Raw genomic sequence first — 12,036 nt, 5'->3', positions numbered from 1 at the left:
CTAATTTCCTGAAAAATGTTGCCTTTTTTTCTTTCTGTCTCTCACCTGCTCTCCAGTGGAGATGGTAAGAAAGGTTAAATGAGAAAGAAGGAGATTCAAGTTGTGATCAAAGCAATTGGAAGACTTTCCATTATTTTGCTTTAGTTTTCATCATAGAACTTCTCAATTTTTCAATAATTACAGTTTGTTTTTTCTGCTTTCTCCCTGCACTATAATCAAAGCTGCATGAGACTAGCAACTTTGTTTGATTCACCCTGGCACCCAGCACAGTGTCTGGCACATAAAAGCACATGCTCAATGAATGTGGGTTGAATGCATAAATGAATGATATACTCAAGAAGTTGCTCTAAACCCTGATTATAATTCAACAATACTGTGGGCTTTTCAAAAAAATTCAAGTTTCCAGATTCTTCATCCCAGAAATTGATTCAGAAATTCTGGCGTGGGTCCCCAAAAAGAGCATTTTTAAATATCTGTTTATATCTCTGGAAGGATCCATGAGAAATTAGTAACATCAGTTGCTTATAGGGAGGGGAATGGGGCAGATGGGGGCCACAGATAATAGGGAGACTTTTAACTGAATCTCCCTCTGTGTTTTTAAAAAACGTGAGTAATATATTATGTACTCTTAAAAGAAAAAAAATTTAAACTAAAGAATAAAAAATGTTTAGTCCAGGTGATATGCAGCCAGGATTGAAAATTCCCATTACAGACAAGTTGCTATTTCAAAGAGGAGCTGGGATTGGACAGCACGATTGAGAGGTGGGCCCCTGCTCAGCTTGAGTAATGGGCTGTCACTTAGGCAGGCTGGGAGGAGAATTTACTCTACAGGACATTGCTAGGTCCTGTAATCAACTGGGGAGAATGAGAGGGAGCCGTTGTCTGTTATTTATTTATTTATTTATTTATCTTTAGATGGATTCTCTCTCTGTCACCCAGGCTAGAGTGCAATGGCGCAATCTCAGCTCACTGCAACATCTGCCTCCAGGGTTCAAGTGATTCTCGTGCCTCAGCCTCCCAAATAGCTGGGATTACAGGTGTGTGCCACCACACCAGGCTAATTTTTGTATTTTTAGTAGAGACAGGGGTTTTCCATGTTGGCCAGGCTTGTCTCAAACTCCTGACCTCAGGTGATCCTCCCCTCTCAGCCTCCCAAAGTGCTGGAATTACAGACGAGAGCCACCGTGCCCAACCAGTTTTCTGTTATACCAGGTGTTCAGGAACCTCAAATCCTGTGTTTGAGTTAAAAAGAAAAGAAATTTCCTGTGTGCCGAGATAACCAAGTGCTCAACAAGAAGCCAACATGTCCATCCTTAATTAGTAATCAAAGTCTTACAAAAAAATCAAATCAATTTTTTTTATCAGATTGGCAAAGATTACAAGAATAATAGCTAGCCTTGGGGGAGGTATGGAGAAACAGAGTCTTACATACTACTTGTAGGAGAAGAGTGCTACAGCCTTTTGGGAGAGCAATTTTGCAATTCAGGCCAAAACCCTTAAAGGTATTTACATGACACCTTTTGCTGTGCCGAACCTTTATTAACCTCATTAGGGAAGACACCAGGTTCAAGAGGCCAGAAACCCAGCAAACAAGACATAGGGTTTTATTAGCGGCTTACATACAGGGGAGAGAGTCCAGTGGCACCGGGCTGGACAAGATATCCACCTTATATCCAGGCCAGTGGTGGCAGGCTGGGCAGGAAAAACACAACGGCCTGCAAACAGCGTGTAGTTTATATAGCATTTTCAGTTAACAGCTTCCCCTTAACGACCTCCACCTGGCAACTTTCAGGTACCCCCCCCCCCCCCCCCCCCCCCCCCCCGCCGCCCAAACTCAGGGCCTCAATCCTTCCTTATGGCCCATGTTCAACGGGACGGGACGGGACGGGACGGGGACTCAGATGTTTCTCATAAACAAGGAATGAATCTCTGGGTTGGCCACTCCTGGATTCCCTAGCTTGAAACACACATTCAGGTGCGTCTGCCATACAGGTTTATTCTAATTGTATGCTTAAATTATTACTCTCAGGGGCTTTTACCCTGCACCTTAGTAATGGTGTAGTAATTCTTGGATTTAGTAATTCGGCATTTAGCCCATGGAAGTTGAATGGTTTGGTTCTGTGTTCCCACCTACATCTCATCTTGAATTGCAATCCCAATTATAATCCCCAGGTCCAGGAAGGGACCTGTTGGAAGGTGGTTGAATCACAGGGGCGGTTCCCGCAAGCTGTTCTCGTGATAGTGAGTGAATTCTCACGAGAGCTGATGGTTCTATAAATGGCGGTTTCCCCAGCTCGCTCTTGCCTGCTGCTACGTGAGACGTGTACGCTTCTGTTTCACCTTCCGCTGTGATTCTAAGTTTCCTGAAGCCGGCTACCCTGCTTCCTGTTAAGCCTGTGGAACTGTGAGTCAATTAAACCTCTTTGCTTTATAATTAGCTAGTGTTAGGTGGTACTCTTTATAGCAATGTGAAAACGGACTAATACAGAAGAAGTATTCAGCCAAGTGAGCAAATTAATATACGTAAAGGTCTTTATATCATAGTATTTATAATAGTGATTATGTTGGTTAGAAACTGTAAACAATATAAAAGCCAACCAATATAGGATCATTTAAATTATGGTATAGTCATCTGTCCCTTACTATTCATGGAGGGAATTGGTGCCAGGACCCCCCAACAGAAGCGAAAATCTGAGGATGCTCAGGTCCTTTATATAAAATGGCACAATATTTGCATATAACCTACTACACACAGTTTCCCATACCTTAAATCGTCTCTAGATTACTTGTAATACATAATTCAATGTAAATGCTATGTAAATAGTTGTTAACACTATATTTTAAAATTTGTATTTTTATTGTTGCATTTTTTTTTCAAATATTTTCCAGTATTGATTCCATAGATACAGAACCCTCAGATATGGAGGGCAGACTGTACATCCACACAAATAGAATGCCTTGCCACCAGCAGAAATGTGAAAAGAACAGCATGACTTAACATTAGACATGACAGGCATACTCAAAGACACAACTTAGGGCAGAGTGTGATGCTATTTTTGTAAAACAAATATATATATACCTAGTTAAAAATCCTCCTTACCAAGTGGGAACGTGAGAAAGGCTGGGAATATCTGTCTATCTTATATACTTTTTTTTTTTTTTTTACTTGCTGTTTATAAAGTGCCTAATATTGTGCCTGGCACGAATCCAATACTCAGTAATCTGAGTTCTCTTCTCCTTTTCTAATAATTCTTTTGCTTCCTGCCTCTCCCTCTGCTTTCCCTAGTGGGGTGCAGTGACCTCAGTTTTCCTCTGTGTCACCCTATCCAAGGCTGTCCATTTGGACTGAGTCCCCGAGTCCCAAGTTCTCTTTCCAGGTGTCCTCAGTTTTTTATCTTCAGTTACTCATCTGGAGGAAAGGAAGCTGTGGGTTTAAAGCTAATCCCTGAGCATGGCAGGGGAAGAGTTCTGAGTTTGGGAATCTGAATCTTTTTTTTTTTTTTTTTTTTTTGAGATGGAGTCTCACTCTGTTGCCCAGGCTGGAGTGCACTGGCATGATCTTGGCTCACTGCAACCTCCATCTCCCAGGTTCAAGCGATTCTCCTGCCTGAGCCTCCCGAGTAGCTGTGATTACAGGCGCCTGCCACCACTCCTGGCTAATTTTTGTATTTTTTTTTTAATAGAGATGGGGTTTCACCATGTTGGCCAGGCTGGTCTCGAACTCTTGACCTCGTGATCCGCCTGCCTCAGCCTCCCAAAGTGCTGGGATTACAGGTGTGAGACACCGCGCCTGGCCTCAGGTAATCTGAAATTCTGAGCTCCAGTTAACATTGGGCAGGCTTTGTTTTGCAAACAACAAAATAAACCCTTGCTATTTCAAGCAATAAAGGGATTTATTTAGAGATATTCAGTAGGTCCCAATCTGAGGAAGCTCAGAGAGCTCTGAAGTGATATAGTCAGGATAGGTGCCATGGGAGCTGCTGCGGCACTGCCACCATCACCATTATCACTACCCTGACACAAGCCTCACTGGGACCAGACTGAGTATCCACCATTGCAGTGCCCACAAAAGTGGATACCTCTGCTAATATACTTGCTTTCCCAGCGTGAGGGCACCTCCTTAGATAATTCATTTTTCATCAGATCTTGTGTGAATCTAACTGGTGTGAACTAAGTCACGTGTGCAATGACCTGTAAAGCAATCTAGGATTGTGAGTTCTGGGAATGGCAGGGCTCATAATGTGAAACATTACCAAAGGGTAGACAAGGGGTTGAGAGGTTTGGGGGCCATGATGGCAAATGTATATGCCCAGTCTCTCTGTTGACATTTGTTAATTGTGCCAATGTGAGCCAGATTCCTCTGAACTGTAGTGTTTTCATCTATAAAATGATCAAAACCTGGTGGGGGAGGTGGTCATGGGATGAAGAATCTATTTCCTTTGCATCTGGATTCTAACTATTAAAGTGCAGTCCAAGAAACCAGACGGGATTCAGTGGCAATTTTGAAAGTGCCAGCTGAAAAGTGATCAAGAACCCCAAGTGCAGAGCTCTCCCTGGAAAATTCTAGGTTGGAGAATGGGGTGGGGCTCCATACCTCTCTTCCAGAAATGAATACACCCAGTCCCAGAGCTGGGCAACTTCAGGTGGAAGAGCTAGAGAGTAGCTGGCCTTGTGGATGCAGGAATCAGGAAATGTGAGCTAGCATTGCACCTGGACACCCGATGTGACCAGGAGGTCATGCTGATTTCCAGAAATCCCTCCAAGTCTTCACTGTGGCAGCTCAGCTGCAGCAACGCAGTGGCAGAGCTGGAGGTTGCATTACTGTATGCGCACATCTTCCTGTGCTTGGCACTGTAGGTGTGTGAGCGGTGAAGGAGAAATAGTTTGAAACAAGGCCAGGAGCAACCAGAAGTTACTCTGGGTTAAATTATTCTAGCCATTAAATGTATAAAATTGTAAGTGGTATATTTGGTTTTCATTAATATCTAGTCAAAATGGAAGTATTCTGCTGTCAGGAATAAATTATATAACTAAATGTATACAATTTTAAATGCACCTTACTTTTTCCTTTTACTGATGAGAATTGGACAAAAAATTATGAAATTTTCTGTTTGTAGGACCCAAATCTACAATAGTACTTCAAGGAATGAGTCCATTTTGGCATGAAGTCTCATGTTTTATGTACTCCAAAATACCAGATTAGCCTTTAGCATATCTGACACAACATGTTCCGAGGAAATCTAATAATTTCAGATAAAATATCCTGAAGCAACAAGTGCATGTTTAAGGGATTGGGTACTGGTTATCCTGAGATGCCCACCATCGCTACTAAGGGTCCCCTTTATTTTGAGAGTTTAGACAACTCAATGTGATGAAATATAATTCAATGTATTCCAGTTCAGCCAATGTGAAATAGAGCAATAATGTAGGGTGGTCACTAGTTCAGAATTAGGGAATAAGGCACCTGGAGAGTTCCTGACTTCAGGGACCTGGACTGAAATGCTTTGGAAACAAATGCAAGTCACTGTTGTTTTTGTTAGCTTGTTGTGCAGCAAGATAGTCGGTGGTGAAATCTAAGAGGGTGCTGAGAAATGCTGTGAAGAAAGCCCTCTCTCTCCTAACCAGGCTCAACCCCTGTTATCCTGCACTCACTCTGTGTGACTGTCATTGCAGCCCAACTGTGACTTGAGCTCATTATAGTTTGACACTAATTGTGGCATGGAACAGAAGACCAGGAATAAATAAGGACGGGGCTAAGTGCACGTGTGTGTGTGTGTGTGTGTGTGTGTGTATGTGCACATGTGTGTGCTTGTATTCCTGTATCTACATAAGACCAGTAGTTAATGAAACAACAAATAATGCTTTCAATCTATTCACTTTGATTAGAAACTATCAATTTCTGATGGGTGACAGATGCTTCTTTAGGAAACAAGCCCAAGAATTCCAGAAAAATTAAATGAGCTCTTGAATGACAGAAGAAACCTGGTGTTAGAGCTGCTCTTCCAACTCTCCAATCCTGTGCCTCTGATTTCACCTGGTACTCCAGGCCCTGGCCACTGTCTACCACATTACAATGATATATCACACCTACCATGTCTCTCGTCTACATGGGGTGGACTCTTTCAAGCCTCCATTTTTAGCTTTTCCCACTGCCCCTCCTACTGCTTAGGAATTTAATACTAATATAATTAATTGCCCTCAAAATGAGTCTCACAAGTAACAAAATAATGGTAATTTTTGAAAAGTGATATGCCACTATTACCTCGCCGGATTTTTAATATTAATATTAATATTGAAGGCACAGAGCGCTGCTGGTATAGCATAATTTGCTATAATTTTTCTGGATCTCTGAAGAGCAATTGGTTGCATTTTTTTAGAAGCTTTAAAATGTACATATCCAGCAGCGTTGTGTCCAGAAACTTAGCCTAAGGAAATAATTAAGAATATGACAAATATTTAGCTACTGAGATATTCACTTCAGTGTTATTCATAGTAGAAGAAATCTGTTGGAGGTAGGGAGGACTCTGTACATCTAATCAGATAACTGATTTAGTCAAAGCAATGCATATCAGTGTAATGGAATGATGTACAACCATTAAAATGATAATATGAGCTATATTTGCATGAAAAGGCATTCCACTGAAAGCAGGTTGTAAAACAAGATGGCAGTTTTGCTTCCAGGAAAATGGAGATGTGTTTCTATTTTTTCCATTGAGTATAACCAAATACCCTGGACGTAATATATAAAACAAATATTAGAAGACCCTGGAAGGTAGAGAGAAGATGGCAGGCTGGAGAGGAACTCAGGACCCAAAGAATAACACCATGATGAGTCCCTCTTTTTGTTATTTTGTTTGGCTTTCTTTGTTTTGCCTTTGTTTTATCCCAGAGTTGAGCTGATAAAGACAGCAATTCGGAAATATCACTGGGCAGAGACATTAAAAGCCCCAAGAGAAACCTGCTCTATCCAAACAGCAGCAACCTAGCAAGACAGAAAACTTAGACAATAACTCCTCTACCTCAGCTGAACAACACAAAATAAACTGCAAATCCAACCTCATCAGCAAAGTCCAGGTGAGGAGCCTAGAGTTCCACACTAACCAAATTCAATACAGGTGCCCCAACAGCCCCACCAGGATGGTGTCAGAAAAGCCCAAGTAGGAGGTTTTGTTTCCACTTTATAGTTAAGGATACCAAAACTAAAAGGCATGAAGAAGTTTGATTCTTCACAGCAACTACCAAGTCTCACAGCAGGTACAATTTCTGTGCTGCTAAACCCCCTTTCTCTGTGCGCTGTGGTGAAGCCTGTACTATTTTGCTGGCCTTTGCTGAGTTTCTCAGGGAGAGAGGAGTGAAGTCTTCAGAGGTAGCAGCAGGGTGGGGCTGGAGAAAAAGGCTTTGCACATTTCCACAGCTTTCTCTCCCAGCATGAATGAATCATTCCCTGTTTATGGTCCTCTGTGCCCACATAGCTCTTCTTCTCACATAGAAGAGATTGCTTTCAGTAAGATAACCACTATCAATTGCGTATACCTCAGTGTGTATTTGTCACTAAGTTTTCTCATCCATGGGTATCTGGAAAGGAAACCATGATTATGCTTGTATTATGGAGGACTGTGCCTTTCATTATAGGTGTTGGGATGTGCAGAGAGAGGAGGAGCAGATTGAGGTGGTACTTCTTGAATTTCTAGAATCACTTGCTCCTAGATTGCCCTGGTTCAAGGGAACTAGCTGCCAAGTGAATTCAGAAAGCTATTTAAGGCAGGAGGAGGACTGCTCCAGGGCGTAGCAACTCTGCCTCTTTATGGGAGAGGTTAATTCTGTTGGTAATTCCTATTAGGTTTACAGGTGTAGCTCCTTGCTAAAGTAAGATGATATTAGCCATTTTACTTAAGGACCAAAGATAGATTACTATGAGGGATATCTTTTTTTAAAAGCTTTTCTTTTAATTAAAATAATAAAACTCTTTGTAAAATAAATAATATATTTCCAGTCTTAGCTCTAACATGTAAGAGCTTGGAAGTCATCACTCTAGTTCTTACAAGAAAAAAGCTAAACAAACTGAAAATCAGTACCTTTTATCAGGCTTACCAGGAGATTGAGGTCACAAAGCAAACAGCCACTCTGAAATCTGGAGAGATAGGTACATCCAGAGAGTCACAGCAAAAATTTGTTTACCTGGAACAGATGCGTCTGGAATGATAAGCTGAAAGAACCCTTAAATGATAGTACTGACTAATTTCTGGAGGCTGGGTGTGGACTAGCTTGAGAGTCATAAATTCCTGGGGGCCACAGTCTTGTGGGAGATACATTTTCATGGGTTTTACTTCCAGGAACCCTACCAGCATCTCATGATGAGGACCCAGGAATTATCCCCTGTGGCTTCGGTGGGGCTAAGGGAAAATAACCATTTTGAAAAGTTCACGGATTATCCTCCATAACAAAAACCTAACCAGCAAAAGAAAAGACTTCACCAGACCCTTATTCCACTGGAGAGAAGGGCATTTGCCAGAGCCCAGAACCCTTCAGCCTTCCTGTTTTACTCAAGGTAGTGGGAGGAGGGGGAGCTAAGATACTTGTGAAGGTCACAGCCAGGGACACAGGCCTACCAAACGACAAGATTTAATAATAAAATTAGAGGATGGAACCACTCCATACATTTTTTGTGCCCGCCTTATTTTTCTTCACTCAACATTATTAGGGACATTCTTCTATGTAGGTCAATTTCTGAGTAGGTTCTGATGGAAGGATGTGGGGACACCTAGTCCAGCTAGGAGGTTGCCCTGGAACAGTATTGATGGCTACACATAGCCAGAGAAAAACAATTCTAGGAAAACACAAACTACCAGTAGAGGAGGATGCCCTCCACTCTTCAGAGGTTCAGGATTGGGTGAGGCAGAGGATGAATAGAACTGTGATCAAGGCAGGAAGGCTGAGTCTGAAGGCTTTGAGCATGGTGCCTTGGGATAAATTAATTCACGTATCTGAGGCTTATTGAGCAGGTTTTCATTTCTCAATGCACAAACTCTGTGATGCACTGGTAACAGCATGTATATGTAACATTCTCCTTAAGGGAGCCCTGGCCTCTGCCTGATGCCTGCAGTGACAGGCAGTGAGGGGAAGGTGAGGCCTCCCTAGGAATTCAGTAAGCTGTCTCTAGCATTGGTGGTGCAGTGGCATTGCTGGACGGAGCAGTGAAAACAACAGAGGCCAAGAAGGCTGATGGCTGTCATGACAAGGAGCAGTGAGTACCACTGGGGAATGGGAGTACAGCAAGGGGCTAGGAAACTGAAGTTGAATTAACAAAGGGAGGAGGGTTTTGGAGCCAAGTAGTTTAAAATAATTACTCCAGCCCTCAGTGGGTATACAAAAGGGTCATGCTCAGATGAGAATAAAGCGTTTGCTCCTCAGTTTCCTCTGAAGCACCAAAGCTACCTCCAGCTTTGGAAAAGGTGTTTTCCGTGGGAGTGGGCAAAATCACAGTGGGTTCGGACCAGTTGCGATTCCATGACATTGCCAGGAGAAAAACAAAATATTCAGCTCTCTCAGCAGGGGGACCTCAGCACCCACATAGTAATGGAGGGGCAGGACGCAAACATACCATATCTACATAGTATATAGGTAAACGCAGAGTCTGGGTAATTAGTAGTCTCAGGTTTCCTGGAAGGATCATGCTTTTTGATTCAGTTGGTTGTCTGGGAAATAGTCCAAATCTTTCTTTGCCAAACTCAGGGGTGGTAGAAACAGAATTAGCATGCCATCCGTATTTTTCAAAGAAGTGATGGAAATGGATTTTCAGTAAGATTTCTGAACCAATTTTTAAATTCATATTTTAGACTTTTACTTGGAGCTGTAGAAGAAGTGCATTCACTCCTGAGAGAGTGACAGTGTTTTTTAAAAAACCTCAAACCCAAATTGGAGTCTCTTGTTTTAATTCTAATTCTGGCACATCACCAACAACCACTGGATGTGCCAACCCAAGGATTTTTTTTTTGAAAGGAGTTTTTAGTTCTGAAGCATGTGGTTCTACTTGTGGCAGATCTAAAAATGTTGAATAATGAACAAGAATTTAGTTTTGGGAAACCTAAATGTGTTGACTGCAGAACATTTTTAGAAAAGAATCCTGATGCATTTAAACAGGCACCTGCTGGGATTGGGAAAATCCCCTCTCCTCTGCCAGGTGGAAGAAAAAAATTATTAATAAGACAATACTATATCAGTAATTTATAGAATTTGCACCTACTATAAGCCAAGCACTTGAGGATTATTATTTATAATCTTTATGTGATAGGATGTTAAAAGGAGGCTTTTTAAGCGAGTTTCTTTTTTTCTTTTTTCTTTTTGAGACGGAGTCTTGTTCTGTCACCCCGGCTGGAGTGCAGTGGCACCATCTCAGCTCACTGTAACCTCTGCCTCCTGGGTTCAAGCGATTCTCCTGCCTCAGCCTCCTGAGTAGCTGGGATTACAGGCATGCACCACCATGCCCTGCTAATGTTTGTATTTTTAGTAGAGGAGGGGTTTCACCATGTTGGCCGGACTAGTCTCGAGCTCCTGACCTCAGGTGATCTGCCTGCCTTGGCCTCCCACAGTGCTGGGATTACAGGCATGAGCCACTGCCTGTTTTCCTACTAAAGCATCAGTATTATGGTTTTTTGTTTTGTTTTGAGTGATTCTTTTTTCTTTATTATTTTTAGTTCTGGGGTACATGTATAGGATGTGCAGGTTTGTGACATAGGCAAACGTGCCATCATGGTTTACTGCACCTATCAACCCATTACATAGGTATTAAGCCCAGTAGGCTGGTTTTTGAGGATGGTGAATGTGAGCAAGACCTCCCTCATGCAGGCTTTACAACGACAATGAAGACGAATGTGTTTTGTCTTTTGGCGCCTTTACCTGGTTTAACGTCATGATAGGTGGAGAGAAGATTGGTGGAGAGAGTAGGGATGCTACCTTCCTGCCTCAAGCCGAGTGAGGAGTGCTTTGGGAGACTTGCCTAGACCTTGCCATGTCTTCCCTGTAGCCTTGACCATCAGCCAGGGCCAGAGGGTGTGGTCATTACTAAGCAAAAACTGTCCTATTTCCATACTTCCACCTCTGCTCCCGTGTTCTCCTCCTAGCCAGGCAGATCCTAAATAGCAGCCCCAGTCAGAGGACAATGAACAGTGAGAGTAGGGAGCAGAAAGACGGACCTCCTCTTCCCCCCTGCCCATTCACCAAAGCAGGCCTGAGCTTGGAGGTGGGAAGGCTTAAAGCTAAGTCAAGTTAAGAGTTTGGGTCATTAAAAGGAATTGGACTTCTATTCATTTATTTACTTTTATTATATATTTATATATTTTTAGACCAAGTCTTGCCCAGTCACCAAGGCTGGAGTACAGTGGCACAATCATGGCTCACTGCAGCCTCGACCTCCTAGGCTCAAACAGTTCTCCTGCCTTAGCCTCCCAAGTAGCTGGGACTACAGGTGTGTGCCACCACACTCAGCTAATTTTTTATTTCTTTTTGTAGAGACAGGGTCTTGCTGTGTTGCCCAGGCTGGTCTTGAACTCCTGGTCTGAAGTGATCCTACTGCTTTGGTCTCCCAAAGTGCTGGGATTACAGGCAGGAGTCACCGGGCCTGGCCAGAAATGAAATTTTAAATTGCTGGATTGTGACTGTGTTTGCAACCTAAAGGCTGTCAACTGCCCAAGTCTGAGCAGAACAGGCTGGTGCATTTGTCATTCACAGACACTGGGAGACTACCCCCTTCCCCATATAGTCTCTCCGTTCTCATCTCCACCACAGGAATAAAGTTTCAAGGGACGTAAGCGTAAAAACTAAAGCGTGTTTCAGCCCAATGCACCATCATGCTTGTTCAATAACCAGTTACATTAACAGCACCACCAACTACATGGGGATTATTTTCCCCATTTTATAGATGGGAAAATAAAGGTTAGAGAAATTAAATAGTGGAGCTGGAAATCAGATTCAGGTTTGTCTTTTAAGTCTGCAGTATGCCACCCTACTTTTGGTTATTGCACCAAAAAGAGTAAAGGT

The 12,036-nt window shown here is 42.6% G+C and overlaps 1 long non-coding RNA gene across 1 annotated transcript in view; it reads left to right on the top strand.

Annotated features, from left to right (window-relative positions):
• The first annotated feature begins 2,309 nt into the window (after positions 1–2,309).
• FER1L6-AS2 (FER1L6 antisense RNA 2) overlaps positions 2,310–12,036 on the top strand; it is a 125,452-nt gene continuing 115,725 nt past the window's right edge. The window contains exon 1 of the long non-coding RNA NR_103547.1: positions 2,310–2,404. This is a non-coding gene — a long non-coding RNA (FER1L6 antisense RNA 2). The remainder of the gene's footprint in view (positions 2,405–12,036) is intronic.

This window comes from Homo sapiens, chromosome 8 (genome assembly GCF_000001405.40).
Source record: "Homo sapiens chromosome 8, GRCh38.p14 Primary Assembly".
Lineage (NCBI taxonomy): Eukaryota > Metazoa > Chordata > Mammalia > Primates > Hominidae > Homo > Homo sapiens.
Note: the sequence above shows the minus strand (reverse complement) of the source record. Positions and strands in the feature narration are given on the sequence as shown.